We start from the raw sequence: 23,216 nt of genomic DNA, 5'->3' as shown, positions 1-23,216 counted from the left end.
ACACTTGTCAACTGACTGAATAGTTGATGGGAAGAAAAATACTTTTCATCCCAAGTTAAAAACTACCCATTGCAAAACGTCCTGGACCAAGCAGTCTTGAAGGTCACCACCAACCTAATGTGAAAGAAGGAACCCTTAATCTAAAATACAAAGACTAGACTCACATCCTGCCTATCAGTGACTGCAGCTGTATGACCTTAGACAATTAACATAACCAATCTGGAGCGATTTCTCATTTAAAAATTGGCTGTAATTATGCCTGCCCTATATACCACACAGGGATATTTGAAGCCCAAATTAAATTATGAGCTAGATCTTCTGTCCTAGATATGAGGAAAAGAAACAGAGAAGAATAAAAACAATGTGAGAGCAGATAAAGTAAGTCAGAAATCTTTTTATGTTGGCTAGACATTACCATTGCAGGAAATGAAAGCCAAAGAATATTTTTAAATGTCATGAAGGAACCATCATTAAAGATTTGTGTCCTCTCTTGCAAACTAGTGCTGCTTCCTAGGTCTCCATTTTCTGATCTGATCCATCAACTGAAAAAAATTGCAGTCCCTAAAACACTACAGTTCTGTATTCTTTTAAAAATGAAACTAATTTTACTATATGCATGAGAAAGGATTTTAGCAGAATACAGTCATCCCTTGGTATCCTTAGGGGATTGGTTCCAGGACCCCCACAGATACCAAAATTCGAGGATGCTCAAGTGCCTTATGTAAAATAGTGTAGTGTTTGCCTATAACCTATGCACACCCTCCCATATACTTTAAAGCATCTCTAGATTATTTATAATACCTAATATAATGTAAAGACTAAGGAAATAGTTTTTATACTGTGTTGTTTAGGGAATAAGAATAACAAAAAAATGTCTGTACACATTCAGTACAAATGCAGCTATCCAATTTTTTCCCCAATATTTTTGAACCACAGTTCATTGCATTTGTGGATGCAGAATCCAAGGATATGGAGGGCTGACTGTATATGTAATCAGTCCACATTCTTATACAGTTTCTTTCTAGTATTTTTGATGATTTTTAAAACTATGTGAATTTTTTTTCAGGTAGCAGCAATAAGGGGACTACCACACTAAAAGTGTACTGTGTGCCAGGTTCTAAGCTAAGTTTCTCACATAGTTCATGCTGTACAAACCTAATAATAACTAATGATCTGGATATTTTCATTATTCTAATAAATGAGGCTCATTCTTACGTATCAGAACCTAGATTTGAGTTTGCATTTGAAACCATCTCTTTCTGACGAAAAAGCCCACATTCACTTCAACGTGCTGAAACTGTGTAAGGTAACAGGCATTAGAAAACAAAGTTAGGTAAGGCAAAACCCTTGTTCTTAAGAAGTTTACAGTTTAAAAGAGATAATTAGATGAGTACACAACTGATAAAAAAAGATTAAAAAGAGAGTAAAAAGAGCTCATATTTAATGATTGTTTATACAATGCCAGTTCTGTGTTAAGCATTTGACACCCCCAACAATCCTATGAGATCAATGTGACTGTCATCTCCATTTCACAGATGGGAAGACTGAAGTTTCAGAAAGGTTATATAATTAGCCCCCACTCACATAGCTAGGGAATAGCAGCAGTACTGGGACATGAATTCAGACACTCAGACTCCAGGGGCATCTTGATAACTATTGTAAGAGAAGCACAAAAGTCAATGGCTAACAGAGTGTAAGCTAGCAAATGCTGACTTCGGGAGATAAGAACATAAAAATCTTCATGATAATGCATGTGTGTGTGTATATATGCATGTAAACTAATACATGTTTATGTATATGAATAACTTGAAGGTTTGACTTCTTATCTGGAAATTACCAAAGTTTATGAAGGTATCCATGAAATGAATTACTTTTGCCTGCTAAAATCGAAGTCTGGCAGAATTTTGTAGCAGGTAAACAGGAAATGAATTAGAAAGCATGATAAAGCATGGCACCACAGCTCAGAGTACTTGATCCTCCCACAAATACCAAATCACTATGCAGACCTCCAGGCTTTGTCACTATGTAAGAAAGCTGACTGGTTTCCTTCTTCCAACTGTCCTCTGACTTTACATACCCATCATCAGTGCTATGACCCCTACCATGACTTGAGAATTAAAGGTGAATGGGAACCAAGAAAGAAGGAAAGAGAGCTAGTACTAATTTGGAAGAACTGCAAGACAAAGTTCATGATGTTAAAATGTTCAGTCATGCTACATTAAAATGAACTTGCTGAAGCCTTACAAAAATGATCAGGATAAAAGAAAACTCAGAGAGGCAGAGCGGGTGTGCAAACATGGACAAGTGTGCTTACTGAGGCTGAGAGCAACAGATTGTGGTGATACAATTAGTATTTTTTAATAGCATTAGAAATTAATGCAGGTACAATTGAGTCCCAGAATACACACATTTAACATAAGCAAATTATACTTGATGAAGCCAGCAAAATGGGGGAACCATTTCTGTATTTTCCACCTAGAATTCATCACCTTCAACCCCCATCCCCAAGTTAAATCTTACCCCCAGTAACTCACAGCATAAATGCAGGGAAACAAAACAAGTTACTTTATGGCTGTTAAATCTTGGGAGCACTGGTCAAAGACAGTACAAGCAATTTAGCACTGACTTTCCAACCTAATCCTCAAGTAAGCTACAACTTCACTGCACATATATTCCGATTTCCCATGATTCCAAAACTTCTATCTTAATGTACCATACTATGCATAATAATTAAATACTCTCACCTGAGAATACTATGACTGGATATAAGGTCAAATATCTTCATTGGTTATGTAATACCCATTTTTGTTGAATGTATCTAAGCAACAGTATGGTGGTTGGACTGAAATAATTTAAAGCTCTTTCCAAACCTGGTTTCTGTGATGGTAATGAAGAATATATTTATATACCAACATGCACCTAAGAAAGGTTATTTGACTCTCATTTTAGTTACTTATTGTCTAACTAATAGAAGTGGAATTTTACAGAAACAAATTGCACATGTAGGGCATTTTTATTTTTATATACTCTATTAACATATGGTTTCTTTTAATTTCTATCATACGAAGGAAATAACACAGATTACAAATTGTTCCTTAATGTAGAGGCTCATTCCTGTTCATAGAGCCAATTAATGGCAGAAAGGAGAAAAATGCCCACATTTCCTAAATCCCAGAATGTGCTGCCGTTCTTATCTATGCTACTATCAGCAACTTTATGGTCTCAGTCACCTCTCTGTGACACATTAATCAAAGACAAAGCAAAAAGCCAGTCAGACAAGAGAACCAGGGATGAAAAATTGGGTAAAATTGAATTTTAAAAAATATGAGTCTAATTCTGTGGCTGTACCCATAAGACGCAAAATGGAATGATCAGACACTGATCCTCTCGATGTGATTGTTGTGATCAGTCAAATCCAACATAGTCCTTTGGAATGTGACCATGACCAGCTAGCAACACCTGGTTCAGTCAGGTACAAAAGAAGTTCCTCTTCAAAGGTTTGGCTTGTTCAGCGTCCTTGTTCTTTGTTCCCTACTTTGAAGGCCAAACTAACTTCCTTATCCTTTGTGCCTCCCTGTTTCAGTTTCAGAAACACCTTTCCTGCCCATCCTTATCTACACGGCCCATATCTGCTACCCACTCTGTAAATTACCCCTCCTGTCATAACGGCTCTTCCCAACAAAACTGCCCTATCTGCCAGTGTAACCACATTCCTGCACCATTCAAGTTAACCAATCAGGTTCAGCTTAGATTTTGTGGTCCAACTCCAGCCAGTGGAGGTAAGACACAGTAGCAGGGACAAGCCGCATTAGGGATAAAAACCCCTTCCCTCCTTCATTCAGTGTGCTCTTATGGTGACCAAACTTGTGAGCAGCACCCTTTTGCAGAAATAACTTTTGCCTTGCTGAGAAATCCTTTGTTTAAGTGCTCATTTTCTTTGCAACTCCAAGCTTTACTTCTGACAGTTCCAATCCTAGCTCGAGGACTTCTGGACTTTGTGTCCTTCTGCAAATCATTTCTCTTCCTTAATCCTTAATCTCCTCAGCTATTATATAAGGAATATAATTAATAACCACTAAGTACCTGAAAGCCCTAACATTGCTGACCCCCATCAGGGCAACCCAAGCCTCCATAACCTTAACAATACAATGTGGTTTCAGACCTCTCCCTCATATCTCATGGTTTTTGTTAAGATGATTTTAAATAATATCTGTGAAGGAATTTTATAAATTGTGGAGCACTCTATTGTTTGTTTCTGGTTTTTGGGAGTTGATTTGATTGTCAGTATTAATGTTAAGATTTGAAAATCTTCAAATTTGCACTTCTGTTCATATATGTTGCAAACTTCCCCCTCCTTTAAAAACAATCAACTGGTTATCCCTCAGTTACCTATTTTAAACTATTCATCTTTTAAAGAATTCCAAGAGTTATATGTGAATTGTGGATTTCAGCAATGTTTACTTTGAATGCATTGGTAAAAAGCAGTCTTCATTTTTTTATAAATTCAATGGATTCAATGAATGGAAATTATCAAATTCAAGGAATTATACCTATTCTTCATAGACTTCAGCTTGCTCAGAGAAATAACCAAAGTTTTGTCTTTAATTTGTGTCTGAAATTACAGGTTAAAGAGATGATAAAAATTGTTGTTCAATATGTAAATGAATATTTGCAATAGCAATTAGCAGAAAAGAGCTAAATTTAGACTAGCAGCCAATAACAAAATTCGGGAAAAGAAACATAATAAAAAAGTAATACTATCAGAATCAAAATCAGTATATTATGATTATTCCACAGTTCTGTAGCTTTAACATTATTGTTCTCAACTTTTAGTTTAATGAAGGTATGAATAGGTGTATGCCCATGAATCCACTATTACCTGATACTAATCACTTTCTAAAAATTAAAAGATGTTTGTTTCCTATTTTTGCCATAAACTAGAGTCTTTCTATTTTCTCTCCTCTTCTGTTTCTTGTCTCCACCATCTTTGCCTTCTTCTACTCTCTACAGCAATCTGTTTCCTTCTGATAAGTCTCATATCAACTTTTCTACATGATTCTGAATGTGATGTGTTACATAATCCTGGCAAAGAGAGATAGGGAGATTACTCCTGGAATTCAGAGTGAAAGTGGAAATGGCTCAGGGTCACTTGTGATGCAAGTGTCACAATGTATTCCACAGATCCATTTAATTCACCCCCGTATCTAAACTAAGAATCACCTGTAATATAATGGGAATGGCCATAGATTGGGAGTCAGGACACCTGTCATTGCAACTCATTTACTGCAAGACCTTGGAAAAATCACCTTGCCTCTCTGTACCCATATTTGTCTATCTACTATGTGGCACTCCTTCTTTCTTAATATCTTGCAGGCCAATGATTTGCACACTTCAGATTATTTAAGAGTCACCTGAGAAAAGTGTTAAATACAGATCTGGGGGCTCTCTTTCCAAAATATTCTAATTTAAAAGACCTAGGATGTGGCCTGGGAAATCAACAAGCACTTGAGGTAGCCCTGATGTAAGGAATACATTAGGTTTTTTTGTTTGTTTGTTTTGTTTTGTTTTTAAATTAATTTATAAATTTATAATAACCTGTCCTTGGCTTCTTATAAATGGAATCATTCATATATGATTGGGAAGTCTGGCTCCTCGTATGCAGCATAATGCCTTTAGTATTGATCCATGATATTGATAAATAGTGTTGTTCAAGTCTTCTGTTTTGTTATATTTTAAGTCTGTTTCATAAAAAATAGCATATACTTGGAGCTTGCTTTTATATCTAGTCAGAGAATGTCTGAATTTTCATCAGTGTTAGATCATAACATTATTAACCAAACTAAACAAAAAATTAGGTCCCTATGAACATATTTTGATAAATGTAGAAAAATGTGCCGAGTGCACATCTAGTGCTGTATATTTTCCACTTTTTCTGGCAATGTTGTTGTGTCAACTTAGTATTCCTGACAATAGTTGGTTAGGAGAACAATGAAAATATGTATCTATAAACTGGTGTTGATGTTGCACCATAGTTTTATAGGTTTCACTATGAAGCACAGGCATACACAACCTACAGAAAGTATTATTGGTAAGAATATGTCTTAAAACAGAGAGGAAGTTGGAGGCATTTACAAATCTGTCAAGTTTATAAGCCAAACGAATAGACACAGTTGTCAAACTAAATCCAATAATTTTATTTTAAAAGTATCCTTAAAAATAAGAGATATGTTAATAAACTAATAAGACCAGAGCTAAAAGACCCAAATGAAAAGAAAAAAATAAGTATTGCCAGTGGAAAATTTTTAACTAAAAAAAAAGGCAGTGGTTGGGATAACACAACGGAAATGACTTTTGGGAAGTTATGATAATAGACTCTATTTTCCAAGAGTAGTTATTAACTATATCCCAGAATTAGTGATTAATTTTACATATAAGATTATGTTTAAATCCTTTGTCTAATATAGTAAATCTTTAGTTTGAAAATGGAAATATTCCATTTTCTTCAGGAATGTCTAATTTACTAAGTATCAGAATGAGGCTTTTATTACTCAATATGTTCAATAATATTTGTGAACTGATTTTCTAAATCCTTAATATCTGTGGTTATTATAAACAAAGGAAGCATTCAAAGGGGATTAGAAATATGTGAGTGAATTACCATTTAAATAAATTTGATTCAGCCCAGAAGGGACAATAGAAAGACTTTCGGTCTCCATAAATCCACTTTAATGTCAGTAAACAAATGGCCCAAAGTAGTTTTATCTGGTTCTGGCTGTAAAGGGTGAAATGCAAGAAACAAGACTGGGAAAACGGTCCTTTCTGTATTGCAGCCAGAAAAAGGGAGCTGGCTTCGATTGTGTGCCAGTATGATTTTAGCTCCTTAGCATAAATGTTATCTGTTTGTATAATCTCCTAACTTAATTTATTCATCCATTTTAATATATTTCTAAAATGTAGTTTCCATACATGGCCTCAATTTGTTTCTGAAATGGTCATAATAAAAAGCTCCGAACTAGTATTATAAATGACTACAATGGAACTTTAAATGGTACCATTTAAAGATTCAAAATATGTTGCCCTTCTTAATGATTCAAATTCTGTTAAATTATGTTCATGCTGTTTACTGATTTGTATATTAGAAGAAGGCAAGCATATATATATAAACATATATATATGTATATATGTTATAACATAGAAAGTTGACAGAACTAAAGCAAAGGAGGGGTAGTTAATGATGATAGTGCTGATAATACCAGATTCATGTATCTGATGCTTGTAATAATAATAATATAGTACGTAACATACGGCTCATAGTTCTATATCTCCTGCTGTATGATCATTGTCTCAATTAATCTCCACAACTCTATAAACTATCATTCTTATTACCCCCATTTTACAGTTAAATAAACTGAGGCACAGAAGGATTGGGCTCCAACAGCCAGTCTCTAGAGCACATATTATATAATGTAGGTAAATGGCTGTTTATTTCCAGTGTCTAGCACATAGTACGATCTCAAAATTTATCTTGGAGGATTAAATGATTTGAAAGATTTGAATGATTAATTTTTTTCCAAATTTATGCAGTAGTCCTCATGTTGGTGTTTCTATATCAAAAGCCAAAATAAGATTAATCCATTGCATTAGTTCTGCTTTTTTCATTCAATTATTGACTTTTAGCTATAAAAGTATCTATACTGAGGCAATGTTTCTCTATATATAATACAACTTTTTATTTGAAAGTAATTTTGGATTCTCAGGAAAGTTGCAAAGATAGTAGAGCAATTTTCTGAATAACCTTCATCCAGTTTCCCTAATGTTATCTTGAATAATAGCAAGTATAGAACATTTGCCAAAATTAAGAAATTAACATTGGCTCAACACTATTACAATTTAACCTCAAACTGTATTTGGATATCAGGAGCTTTTCCACTAATGAGCTCTTTATGTACTAGGCTCCAATCCAGAATACTGCATTATGTTTAGTCTTCTCTAATCTGTGGCAGTTTGCCAATCTTTTCTTGTTTTCCTTGATATTGACAGTTTTGAAGAATATTAGATTTTTGGTAGAATGTCCCTTAATTTGGTTTGTCTGGTGTCTTCAAAGGATTAGGCTGGGTTATTGGTTCCGAAGAAGAATGCCAGAGAGGTGAAGTGCCCAACTCATGACATTACATCATGGGGTACATAATATCAATTTAAGTTACACAGAGTATGTTAACCTTGATCATTCGGTCAAAGTATTATTTGTCAGGTTTCATCATTGTAAAGCTATTCTTTTTTCCTGTTCATAACCTATTCTTTGGAAAAGAGATACCAGGTCTAACTCGTAGTGGAGAATTAATCTCCACTTCCTGGAAGGGAAAATATCTACATATATTATTTGGAAAACTTCTGCAAGGATGATTTGTCCTTTATTAAAGAATGCCTCATTTGCACCTGAAAAGAGAATGAAGGAAGTCAAGAAAACTGGGGAGAAAAACATTATCATAAATTTTGTAAATATGATCAATCACTGTGGTCAATTTAGAAATTTGATCATGCTACTGGAGTGGCCCTTTCCAATATTCAGCCACTGAGCACATTTTCTACTCAAATCTCAAAGCTCTCTGTCCCCAAGAACCTGGGGAAAAAATATATGTCCTCTCATACTCAGCTACATTATTTATTGTCTTCTAAGACCTAACCTAAAGAAAAAACGTAAAAGCTTTGTATTCCCAATATGACTAAGCTATCAAAAAGAGTGAGGGGAGCAAGAATGGGGCAGATAAAGGAGATGAGCAGGAGGTGGTCTCAGTTAAGTCTAGGCTTGACCTGGTCCACAGTGGGCTCTGGATGTAGTTTCTATCAACTGAAGCAGTGTCTTTGGAGAAGGGCGTAGCTGCCAGCTGTTAGTTGCCACCATTCACAGTAGCTGTTAAATGGGTGCACTTGGCTGTAAAAGCAGAATCTAGGTGGGAAACCAATGGCATCCATTATGTTGTATGCTTCACTTCTCAATTCAAATGACTAAATATTTATGAAGAATAAATTATGCTCCATGTAGATAGATGTAAGGTGTTATAATAGATATCACATACATGATTTTATGTAATTGAGGCATGGTTCCAAAACTCTGGAAGAGATTAATAATACACTAAATGTTAATAATTGCCTTCCTTTATGTTTTTCATGTGTATATATACACACATATTTACATATTGCATATTTGTGCACATATATAATGTATATATTACATAACATAAAATGTATACATTATATATAATATATAGTGTGTGTATTAGTTTGGAGAATTATTTGTTTTTTTCCCTTGCAGAAAACAGGCAGAAACCTATTTTGAATGGATATCGTCAAAAATAATAAGACAAATTTTAGAAAGTAGATTAAGATTCAATGATTTCCAGCGGAAAATCCTCCAAAGCACTAGAGTATATTTTTCACAATCTCTAGAGTACTAAGAACAAAACATAATTCTTTATGTGAAAAGCACATGCCATGCTTTTCTTGTGTAAATGGCATGAAATTACCCTTATAAATGGGGTATCTGATAGCAAAAAGGAATCATGTTTGTTTAATCCAAGCATTCAAGATAGATGGTTCAGCATTAAAAGAATTTGGAAACCAATGTCTTCAAACAACAAGTGCATGAGTAGCCACCAGTGCATATCTTGTGACTGAAGAAATGTATAAAGATCTGTTGTGCAACAATAAATCAACCCTTTAGAGAAAACAGGAAGTGTCAGGGATTGTAACTAGGTCAGATACAGAATATAAATTCTATCACTTCCTGGTTACTAGGAAGAATTTGTGCTCTTCTGAGCATGGAGAAGTGAGGTGATTTTAGGATAGAAAGGTGCTAACACCAAGTAGCATTTATTTTAAAGTCTCAAAGGCTCAAAAGAGAGAAAACACCTCAAAGTTTTGAAGAAGTAACTAAATTTATGCCACAATTAATAACTGCCCGTAAGTGTAGAGACCATGCCGGATTAGAGTGGTGTCCTTATGACCCAACTGAGGGCTGGAAATGTAGGATATTCTCCAATATCAGCTGAATGAATTAATGTAGGAATAAATGAATGAAAATATACCAGGAAGCTGTAGACTGATCATCTTTTCCTTTGCTCCTATAAATCTAAACAGCCACATTGCTTAGCAGGCTTAAGTCTGTGCTAATTCTGCAAATAGCTACCTCTGTGACCTTAATCAACAGCCTTAACCCCATGTAGCCCTCCTGTTTCATCTGCAAGATAAGTTATTCAAAAAGAGTTCAAAGGTCTTCAGCATATCTAAGATTTGAAAATTTGCTCTTTAATCAGAACTATCATCTTAGTGCCAAGAAGGAGAACATACGGCAACAATGAAGAACAGTATTGTAAAGCCACTAAGTACATGGACTGGGATTCCAGAATGGTCAGACAGATATGGTTTGAGCTCCATGTCTGACGTCTTCTAGCCTTATGATCTCAAGGCGGCTATTTAACAGTTCTTTATTTATAAAATTCAGATGTGATGAAGATTACATAATTTAATTATGTAACATAGCTAGCATAATGTCTGGCACATAGTGAATACTCTCTTTTGTTACTATGGCTGCTGTCAGAGTTGGAGACAGTAAGGTGTAGTCCATCCAAGCAGAATTGTTGTCTTTGCTTTCCTAAGACCAGATACTTTTTTTGTTCTCCAAACTAATAGTGTCATATGAAGTCAGTGTTCTAAGAGCAGACACAAATAATTTAAATACTGTTCTCAAGAATAATTATACAAAAGTAATGAAACCTGGCCAGCCAGGTGACTCACACCTGTAATCCCTGTACTTTGGGAGGCAGAAGCTGGAGGATTGCTTAAGCCCAGAATTTCAAGGCCAGCTTTGGAAACAAAGTGAAACCCTGTCTCTACAGAAAAAAAAAAAAAAAAAAAAAAAAAAAAAGGATTAGTGGGGTATGATGTTGGCATGCATCGGTGTTCCCAGCTACTCGGGAGGCTGAAGTGGGAGGATTGCTGGACCCCCAAAGATTGAGTCTGCAGTGAGCTGTGATCACACCACTGCATTTCAGTCTGGGCAACAGAGTGAGACCCTGTCTAAATACATATATGTATATACAAAAGTAAGAGAACCCAAGAGATTGTTGTTATGACCCCTACCTCCACATGCAGAGGTTTGTAGGTTCTTTGATAGTGTAACTATTCCAGGTCAAAAATAAAGATTTTATGTGTGACATTATTCCCCTAGGGAAAGTAGAAGCCAAAAATATTTTACAGAGAAAAATAATTGTTAAGCATCGCATAGTTCCTAATTTTGCTGTTGTAGTAAAGGCCTGTTGGTTTGTGTAGTTGTTATTAATGCTAGTTCACCAAATAGTTTTGGTTTCTGCATTTAGTCACATGGTAGGTGTATTAATCAGGGTACTCCAAAGAAACAATCATTTATAGTGTGTGTGTATATTAGTATATATATTATATACACAGTATATAATATATACAGTATATAATATACACAGTATATAATATATACAGTATATAATATACACAGTATATAATATATACAGTATATAATATACACAGTATATAATATATACAGTATATAATATACACAGTATATAATATATACAGTATATAATATACAGTATATAATATATACAGTATATAATATACACAGTATATAATATATACAGTATATAATATACACAGTATATAATATATACAGTATATAATATACACAGTATATAATATATACAGTATATAATATACACAGTATATAATATATACAGTATATAATATACACAGTATATAATATGTACAGTATATAATATACACAGTGTATAATACACAGTATATTCTACACACAGTCTATAATACACACAGTATATTCTATACACAGTATATACAATATACACAGTATATACAATACACACAGTATATTCTATACACAGTATATACAATACACACAGTATATACTGTATACAGTATATACTATACACACAGTATATACTCTACACACAGTATATACTGTATGCAGTATATACTCTACACACAGTATATACTGTATGCAGTATATACTCTACACACAGTATATACTGTATGCAGTATATACTCTACACACAGTATATACTGTATGCAGTATATACTCTACACAGTATGTACTGTATGCAGTATAAACTATATTGGTAGGTCTTGGGCTAGCAATGAAATGCTTTAGCTCAAAAGCAGCATACATTACTTTGGCTTACAATAATGATCCCACCTAATTTCATGGCCCTAGCCAGCATCAATAAAGTCAGGAAATGCAATTCTGCTGTGATGGTAAATTACATGTGTCAACTTGAATGGGCCATGGGATGCCCAGACATCTGCCCAGATATATACAGTATATACTGTATACAGATTATGTAAACAGTATATAATATATACAGTATATTATAGATATACAGTATATTATATGTACAGTATATTATAGATATACAGTATATGTACAGTATATTATAGATTTACAGTATATTATAGATTTACAGTATATTATATGTATAGTATATTATAGATAGATACACACAGTGTGTGTGTGTATACTAGTTTGGATAATTATTTGGTTTTCCCTTGCAGAATATAGGCAGAAATCTGTTTTGAATGGATATCAGCAAAAATAATAAGACAAATTTTAGAAAGTAGATTAAGATTCAGTGATTTCCAGTGGAAAATCCTCTAAAGCACTAGAGTGTATTTTCATAACCTCTAGAGTACTAAGAACAAAACGTAATTCTTTATGTGGAAAGCAAATTCCATGCTTTACATGTGTAAATGGCAGGAAATTACCCTTATAAATGGGGTATCTGATAGAAAAAGGAATCAAGTTTGTTTAATCCAATAGAAGATAGATATGTTTGTACATATATCAAAGGCCTGAGGGCAAGAGCCAATATGTAGATTCCAGTCCGAGTGTGAGGGCCTTAGAATCAGGAGTGCCAAAGGTAGAAGAGGATTGATGTCCCAGCTCAGGAGGAATCAGGCAGAAAGTAAATCTAAACTTCCTCCGCCTTCTTGTTCTATTCAGGCTCTCAATGGTTTGGAAGATGCCAGCCCAGGTTGTGGAGAATCATTTATTTTATTCAGTCCATCCAGTCAAATGCTAATCTCTTCTAGAAACACTCTCACAAACACACTCAGAAATAATGTTTAAGCAGATATCTGGGCATCCCGTGGCCCATTCAAGTTGACACATGTAATTTACCATCACAGCAGAATTGCATTTCCTGACTTTATTGATGCTGGCTGGGGCCATGAAATTGGGGGGGATCATTATTGTAAGCCAAAGTAATGTATGCTGCTTTTGAGCTAAAGCATTTCATTGCCAGCCCAAGACCTACCAAAAGTCTCTTTTCCTCTGCTACAGTGACCAGCAGTGTTCTAGGTCGGCACTGTCCAGTAGAATTTTCTGCAAAGATGGAAGTATTCTCCACATTATCCAGTATAATAGCCACTAGCCACATATGGCTCTTGAACACTTGAAACATGATTAATGAAACTGAGGAGTTGTATTTTAAATTTTATTCAATTTTAACTAATCAGCAGTTAAATTTAAATGGTCACCTGTGGCTCGAGGCTACCATATTGGACAGCATAGCTATAGGTACTGGCGGCTGTCTCTGGGTTCTAGAGAATGATCTAGAACAGAATCTCCAGCAAATGTGCTGAGAATTAGAATTAAAACTTGTTTAAGTTCCTGAGACTTCAAGGCTGTTACCAAAGCCTAACTTAGCTTTTTCTCATAGATATGAGTTCCCTTCCAGCTCTTTTAGTTGCTGAAAACTAGCTACCTCACAAACACACCCAGAAATAAGTTTACCCACAGGGATAGTCTCTCAACAAACATGTTGTAAAGAGGTGACGCTACCCTTCTATTGCTGATGGGTCCAAAGTTAGACAGTTCATCCAAGCTGGGATGATTAGATCATCTTTCTTGAAAATTTAAAGACAGAGTGTTTGGAAGCTATTGGAAGCTGAATCATTATGCTGATACTCTTGAATGTGCTCTTTTTCTTACCCTTCATTGTCAATTTTTTGTTTAGATTTAGTGAAGTAACCCAGTATCTTTCTAATACACCCTCCTTTTGCCACACAAAGAATAATACTTAGTACCAAGGAATATGGATTTATATGTCTGCAATAAGGTAAAAAAAATCACTTGAAAACTGGATAAGAAAATTAATTTGCTAATTTTTTCAGAGTGCTAGGAGAGTAGAAACTTCTCAAAGGTATTGTGTTTCAGGCCAAGCAGTGGCTCACAGCTGTAATGCCAGCACTTTGGAAGGCCGAAGCTGGCAGATCACTTGAGGCCAGGAGTTTGAGAACAGCCTGGCCAATATGGTGAAACTCTGTCTCTACTAAAAATACAAAAATTAGCTGACTGTGGTTGTGCACACCTGTAATCCCAGCTACTCTGGAAGCTGAGGCAAGAGAATAGCTTGAACTCAAGAGGTGGAGGATGCAGTGAGCCTAGATCACACCACTGCACTCCAGCCTGGGAGATAGAGCTAGACTCTGTCTCCAAGAAAAAATTTTTTTAAAGTTTTGTTTTTCAATGCCCTCTCTGATAAATGTATTCAATAAACATGTATTTAGTGCTTGTTATATTCTGGATTCCATGCTAGAAACTGAGGATTCAGTAGGAAACAAAACAGATTTGGTCCCCGTGTCCATGGCATGTGATAGAATACAAATAGGTTTGAGTACTCCAATGGAGTCAAGTGTCTTCCACTTCTAAAGTCTATGCATGGAGTCACACTGATGGCTTGGGAGCACTTTATCATTGCTCAAGTGGCTGAGATCATAGCACATGTCACTCCTTCCCTCTCCCATTTTCTGTGCTTAAGAAAATCCTGGCAAATAGAGTGAGCTAAAGATTGGCATTAAGAATTTGGTTATAGGCCAGGCATGGTGGCTCACGCCTGTAATCTCAGCACTTTGGGAGGCCGAGGCTGGTGGATTACTTGAGGTCAGGAGTTCGAGACCAGCCTGGCCAACATGGTGAAACCCTGTCTCTGCTAAAATACAAAAATTAGCTAGGCGTGGTGGTGTGTGCCTATAATCCCAGCTACTAGGGAGGCTGAGGCAGGAGAATTTCTTGAGCCTGGGAGGCAGAGGTTGCAGTGAGCTGAGATCACACAACTGAACTCCAGCCTTGGTGACAGAGCGAGATTCCAACTCAAAAAAAAAGAATTTGATTATAAAAATATAAATACCCTAAGATATTTTATCCTTACTAGCTTCCCCAGACATTCATAGGTAATTAATTATTACTATCTTAAGTGATCAAAATAGTGTAACTCCCTGATTAAGAAACCATCTTACCAGCAGGAGACAACAACAATAACAACAACTATAACATGGTAACAGCCACAGCATTAATTATTCACTGACTTTTTTCCAGGCAGTACGCCAAGGGTTTCTATATATTTGTCATTTGATCCTTACAGCAACCCTATGAAGTAGGTTTTATTGTCTACGATGTATAAGTCAGGAAATTGATGAAAACCTAGTAGGAGGTAGAAACAGGACGCAAACATAATTATACCTGACTTCAAAGCCTTGGTGTCAAATCACTATCAAGAGAAAAAAAAAAAGAAGAAGAAGAAGGCACAATAACCAATGAGTAATGACACCGCATAGACCTCCAGCTTCCAGTATGTGAGATGTTTTAAGCTTTTTGAAATAAAATTTTTCCATTTTTTCATGCTGATTCTGTAATTGATGTATTTAAACATATCGATGCGTTTTTAACATTGGTCAACACAAAAGTTTTACTATGATCAGACCTCTTTCTTGGTATTTTCACTGAAGCCTGGGATTGATCTAGAATCAATATTTGAAAACCAAATTACTTTAGCTGCTATACTCATAGTGTAAAGGTTTGGGCAAGATGAGAAATAATCAACCACTGCAGTCTCTAAAGTGTATGTTTGTTGGCTGTTTAAAGCATACCCAAATCCTGTGGCATTCAGCTTTGTATGTGCTACCAGTTCTAATTCAGTAAGTTAACCTTAAATAGTTAAAACATAAAACTCTAGTGGGTAAGCACATAGATACACAGAAATATATACAAATTTCATCTGAATGACAGTAAATGATGTCAAGCTCTGCCTTCTTTTATAGATAAGTATGGTATTATACTAAACATTAGTGAAAATAATTAAGAGTAATCTTTCTGAAGACTTATTATTTTAAAAAAATCCCTTAGAAACTAATACTCAGTTGTGAAGATTACAATGTGGAAAATTATAATACAAAGAAAGTTAATTTGCCCACATTACTGACAGCTAACCAAAACTTGGGAATTCTTCTTAGACAGAATAAATAAAATTCTGCCTGGTAAAGCAAATATAGAAGTGTAACTTGAAAAAATATGTAAAAATTGCAGTGAAGTATAGTGCCGCTAATATTACATGGTGCCATTTTCTCAAAGATAAATTTAGAATGAATACATTCGGTTTGAAGAAAATTACACTTTTAATTGGTAAATGGAGAAACTAATTTTCATATTTTTCTGATGAGTACCTGTCTGTAGGTTCACATGAAAATATGTTTAAATTTGAAAAGTTTTTCAGAAAACACTGTTGAAATGGGAGAAGTTCCCTTATCCCATTGGCAGGGAGTGTGCGACAGGGCTGTGGCTCCCTTCTTCAGTGCCCTGCTGCTCAAACCCCCAGGGGGAGCATGCAGATGGGCAGGTAGTGGGGGGAGCATTTTTGGGTTCTGACCCCACTGCAGTGTCTATGGTTGAGTGTTTACAGTTCCGAAAACCCCAGTGGGTGTGTGTTACAGTGTGCTTTTTCAGCTTTGCCATCTGCAGGTGGCTTGTGTTAATGAGCTCAGTTAGACCCTTTGCTTTATCACAAGGACAGAGAGCTTTCTGTATCCTGAGTTCTTGCCTTAATGTCTCAGAAAAATGGGATCACATGTGGGCTTGTGGGCTTGGAGGATGAGTGCAAGATTGTATTGGGTGGTGGAGGTAACTCCCAGTGAGCTGGATGGGGAGCCAGAAGGGAGATAGAGTAGGAAGGTGATTCTCCCCTGGAGTTGGGTCGCCCAGCGGTTGGACTCTCCTCTGACCACCCCTGGCTGAATTCCCCTTGACGTATGCATCTTTTCATGATTGCTGACCTGCCAGTGTCTGCCGGCGTCTGCTGGTGTTTTCTTCTGCTCCTCTTGACATCCAGCCACTTGTGTGTGTGCCCACTATGGTCCTAGATTTTTATGGGTACAGGATGGGGGGCATGGTGGGCCAAAAGGCAACTTTTGGGGCATGAAAACAGAAATGCCTGTCCTCATTTAGGTCCATGGACATAGGCCCAAAGGTAGAGCCCTGGCCAGGGACCCCGGCTTTCTCTACCCGGAACTTCCCTGGCCCACACCATATCACTATCAGAATTCAATATTATGAAATGAAAAGAAGTAAAATTAATTTCTTTTAAAACCACAAGGGACATTATATTATAACATAATTTTGACCATTAAAATTCTGTATCTCCACATCTATAAACACACACAATAGATTCAATATACATTCATTCCATCAAATTCGCTGATTTACTCAAAAGCAAATATTTATATCTGGTTTTAAAAATACGTCAATCTATTGTTTTCATATTTGTCTAGTCAGATTTTATTTTGCTTTGAGAAGACTCAAGCTGATCTTAAACACTGTTCTTAATCTTTTTAAGGTATCCTATCTCTTATTATGGCAACATTGCAGTGATAAGAAAAAAGATCCCTGAGAGAGGAAAAAGTTCCTTATTGGAGTAGTAACCTGGGTTTAATGTAATCATCCTCATTTAGGTAACATGACATAGTGTTGGGATGGTGGGATTAGCAAGGGATTAATCACACTGATATATCTTCCTATATTCTTTACGAGATGAATATGTTCACCTTTTAAAATATACATTTTATACATATAGTTGTCTAGTACAGTTTAAAAGAGCGATGGATTTATTTATTTTTTGAGACAGGGTCTCACTCTGTTGCCCAGACTGGAGAGCGGTGGCACCATCATGGCTTACTGCAGCCTTGACCTCCTGGGCTCGAGTGATCCTTCTGCCTCTGCCTCCCAAGTAGCTAGGACTACAGGCACGTACCATCATGCCTGACCAATTTTTAAATTGTTTGAAGAGACGGGGTCTTGCTATGTTGCCCAGGCTGGTCTCGAACTCCTGAGTTCAAACAATCCTCCTGCCTTATCCTCCGAAAGTGTTGGGATTACAGGCATGAGCCACCACACCCAGCAGGTGATGGATTTCTGAGAGAAAACATTCCTCCAACATGCTAACAAAAAGTTTTCTGCTTTAAGTCATTCTATTCATTGCCACTATCCTCTATTGAATCCCATCCAAAATATTCAAAGAGTAATGGAAAAACATATGAAAATATTTTTAGAAAATAAAAATCCTCCATCTAGTATATTGCACCAATAAGTGTAATACGTTGTTGGAGAGAGAAGGGTTTACATTTTTCTTTATAGCCATCCTTTATACCTTATTCCAAAGTATTGCTTAGTGGTGAAAGTAAAAATGATTGTTTTTGTCATCTGTGTCCTACATAAAAAGTTTACTACCATAACAATGACAGGTTGACCTCTGCTATGAAAGCCAGATAAGAGTGGTAAAGCACAGACACTGAAGAAAAGTGCCCACTCCACCCTTTATCTGATGCTGAATTGTATAGCTGTACTCCAGTTGGGTTTTGTTTTGTTTTGTTTTGTTTTTGTATCCTCTCACTGTTTTCAGATGAGTTTTGGTGTGATTCGGAATCTATATTTTTTTAAACAACAAACAGTCTGGGCACAGAGGATAAAGAAATATTGGCTTTTCTGGAGGAAAAGAAATTCATCATTTAAAAGATACCATCAGTCTTGATTCTACTATAAAGAAACATTCCCTTCTGATGCTCCTACCAAAAAAAAAAAAAAAAAAAAGTGTGTGTGTGTGAGAGAGAGAGAGAGAGACAGACAGAGAGAGAGAGAGAGAGAAAACTGACTGTGTGTGTTTGGTTAAACACCAAAACTAATATGTTCAAATTATTTCTCACTTTCCTTTATCTTTCAGCTCTATTCTGCCTTGCTGAAGACTTGAACATCAATGTATTTGTCCTATGTTTAAATCAAAGAGCTACTTTTGATGCTGTTTTTATTCTAACAGTCTCACTGAATACTACACTTCCTCCCACCAAAGTTAATTTGTCTTACAGTTCTCCCTGAATTTTAGGTTAATTTTAATTAACTCTTATATTAGTCTTTCAACCAAATGCATTTTTTTCCACTGGATATACTGTTTAATTATGGGAAGAAAAAGTTTGTCTTAGTCTTTTGTTTTTTTTTTCCTCTCCATCATCTTTCCTTTGAAGAAACCATCTCCTCACTTTCTATTTTTGTAATGATTATGCTGAGTTATAACATTCAGTGGACCCAGTCTTCTCCCTTTAAGCCAAGAGCAAGCGATCCAGGTCCAACCAGGGCTCTGGTGCCAGAGAGCCTAGATTAGAATACTGGTTCCACCACTCACTAGCTGTACGATTTCCAGTAAGTTACTTAACTTCTGTGTGGCTTAGTCTTCCCATTTCTAAAATGGGGAAATAGGCCAGGCTAGGTGGCTCATGCCTGTAATCTTAGTACTTTAGGAGGCTGAGGCAAGAGGATCACTTGAGGTCAGGAGTTAGAGACCAGCCTGGGGAACATAGCAAGACCTCATTTCTACTTTTTTTAAAAAATTAGCTGGGTGTGGGGACACATGCCTGTAGACCCAGCTATTTGAGAGGCTGAGGTGAGAGGATGGCTTGAGCCAGGGAAGTGGAGGCTGCAGTGAGCAATGATCAGGTCATTGCACTCTAGCCTGGTCAACAGAGTGAGACCCTCTCTTAAAAAAAAGTTAAGATGGAGAAATAATAGAACCTGTCTCACAGAGCTGCTGTGAGGAATAAAGAGTTAATACATGTAGAGCATTAGCATAGAGTAGATACTTAGTAAACTATTCTCAATCTTAGTACTTCAATAATGATAATTGCTATTTCAGTTGCCAACTACCATCTGGCTGCCAAACAGAGAAAGCTTACATCAAAATGAAGCCAAGATGAGGTAAGTGGAGCCGAGACAGGAAAACAATTTCTTGATGACAGCATTTTATCCCTGGACCCAGCTGAGTCAGAAACAGACCTTTAGACTTCCAACTATGTGAACCACATAACCCCCTGCTTTTATTTTTGCCTAAGCTCGTTTGCATTGTATGATTGGTACCTGTTAAGTAAAACAGCCAGTAAGTCAGTGAGATTGTTACAATAAAAGCAGCATCGGGCCGGGCACGGTGGCTCACGCCTGTAATCCCAGCATTTTGGGAGACTGAGGTGAGTGGATCACTGGAGGTCAGGCGCTTGAGACAAGCCTGTCCAACATAATGAAACCACGACTCTACTAAAAATTATAAAACTAAAAAATAAAAATAAAAATAAAAAAATAAAAAGCAGCATCAAAAGTAGGAAACTAAATCAATCTACCTGAGGATGGTGATTAATACAAAGTATAAGCTTTCACATAGGATAAGGTTTTGTTTTTTTTTTTTTGTTTTTGTCCCTCCTAAAATGGATAACTAATTCATGATCAAAGGTACTGTGGGATTCTTTCGCCAAATAGACAGCCTGGGTGTAAAATTTTTTGAACTTTCCATTAAGATAACCTAAATGATTTTATATAAATATATATATATACACACACACATATGTATACACATATATATACACATATATATATACACATATATATACACATATATATACACATATATATATATACGTGTGTGTGTGTGTGTGTGTGTGTATATATATATATATATATATATTTTTTTTTTTTTTTTGAGACATTATCTCGCTCTGTTGCCCAGGCTGGAGTGCAGTGGCATGATTTCGGCTCACTACAACCTCTGCCTCCCAGGTTCACGCCATTCTCCTGCCTCAGCCTCCCGAGTAGCTGGGACTACAGGCGCCCGCCACCACGCCCAGCTAATTTTTTGTATTTTTAGTAGAGATGAGGTTTCGCCGTGTTAGCCAGGATGGTCCCCATCTCCTGACCTCATGATCCGCCTGCCTCGGCCTCCCAAAGTGCTGGGATTACAGGCGTGAGCCACTGCACCCGGCCTAAAGTGTAGTTATTAAGCTAAGTATAAAAGGCATCAAAGGTCTTGCTGCACTGAGAAGTGTCAGGACCACCATTCTGAGTGTTGAGGCCTATCTTGGTTCTCCCTCTTTACCTATTAAGTTATATTACTTTTTCCTGTATCCATCATGTATCCTGTCACCAAAATTCCCATCTTGGCTTACCAGGAGTTCTATATCCAATTAATTTAGCCTTTACTATATGTTCTTTTCCTTCTTCTACAAGTTCTTGTTTCATCTTTATGTTGGTTATATATGAAGGATGCATGCATGTCATGTTCCCTGCGTATTTGAAAAGGGTTTTTCTGTGAGCTTTTAACACTTCCCTTTTATTTCATCTCAGAAAAATGTACAATCTAGTTGGGACATCGGGTTCTTTCATAACCATTTATAATGATATTGTCTTTTTTTATGATGAACTTACAAAATAGTATGTAGGTAGATCTGACCCTCCAACAACTTCCTAGTGTCATACATTTTGTATGTGGGAAAAACTTCCAAAAAAGATGGACTATTTCTGTGTTTCCCAAACTTGGTAGCACATCAGCATCATCTTGTTGTGCACAGAATCTGTAACTTTTTCCCCTGAGATTGGAGTTCATGGATTTGCCAAATAGCTCAAGCACCTGCTTTTCAAAAAGCTCCCCAGGTAATTCTAATAGAGTTCATTGTGAACTACTGTATTGATGAGGAATCCAAGTTTTAGAAAGATCCATATTTGGAAATACAACTGTCTTTGGGTAAAGTTTGAACTAGAACCCATTGTACTAACTGCCAAATCAGAACTCCAGGATGCCATGCTGCCTGAAGCTCTGTAGTGATCATCTCTTGCAGCCAACTGCTCAGCCTCTTTTATCCCTTATACAGATCTGACAGAGAGAGAGAGAGAGAGACAGACAGACAGACACACACACAGACAGACACACACACACACACACACACACACACACACAGAATAAGAAAGATAGACAGAGACAAAAACAGACGCAGAGAGAGGATATATGAAGTGAGTTCCACTACCGGGCTTCCCTATGACATGAATCAGTACACTCTCTTTTCCTTTAAGGTAATTTGGGCTGGATGTCTGCTATTAAAGAGCGAGACACCATCTCAAAAAAAAAAAAAAGTGTCCTAAATAATATATATTCATTCCAAATGCTAAATGGGATAAAGACCATATGCAAGTTGAATAAGCTCAACACATGCTGATTTGGCATAGAAATTTCCTGGCATCATAATGAGTCAAGAGTAGTAACAAGAGATGGTCAGTAATGACCAGGACCCTGTACATGAGATAGCAAAATGTAGGGACTTGCAGATCCAGCAAGAATGGCACTGGTGTACCAGATTTAACCCATGGTTCTTGAGCGAAGTATATTCCCCTGTGTTCGTCTTTTAAATTTCCTCCTAGATATGGACCGCTCAGGATCAGAGATGGTGATCAAAGTCAGCAGGTGGCCAAAGGCCTGCAAGAATACCTTGGTTCTGCGTAAGACTAGAAAGAGATGCTATGTTTAGAAAGCTTGGAGAACAGGAATCAGCTTTTGTCCTCCTGGAATAAAAAATCCTTCCCAGCATTGTCTTCAAAACAGTGAAGAGGCAGAATGTGTTCTTTTAATGCTAGCTGTAATATTCCTGTCTAGGAAAAAAAAATTGCCTTTGTCCAAGAACATTCCTGAATGGGCACATTTACTTATGAAAGTGAAGTCACCTGGGTTCTGGCTGGATGGCTTTGAGATAGAAAAATCAATTGTGAAAACTATTCCATACAAGAAATGTGTGTTTGACTTGCATGAGGGGAGTGAGGAGAAACAGAAAAAAATGAGGCCAGGATAAGACAGAGAAGGACTGAGGGGTAAGATGTATGTCACCAAGTGTTGGCCTTAGGCAAAACCAGGGCAATGTGAAATTCCTAGCTGAATGAGTTTTTTAAATGCAAATGGCTAATATTTAATTTCCATTTGTTTCATAAATTCATAATTCATAAATGTCACTGTCTGTGTAGAGTCGGAGTGTAAACTCTCCACTCCACA

This window comes from Homo sapiens, chromosome 3 (genome assembly GCF_000001405.40).
Source record: "Homo sapiens chromosome 3, GRCh38.p14 Primary Assembly".
In the NCBI taxonomy this organism is placed as follows: Eukaryota; Metazoa; Chordata; class Mammalia; order Primates; family Hominidae; genus Homo; species Homo sapiens.
Note: the sequence above shows the minus strand (reverse complement) of the source record.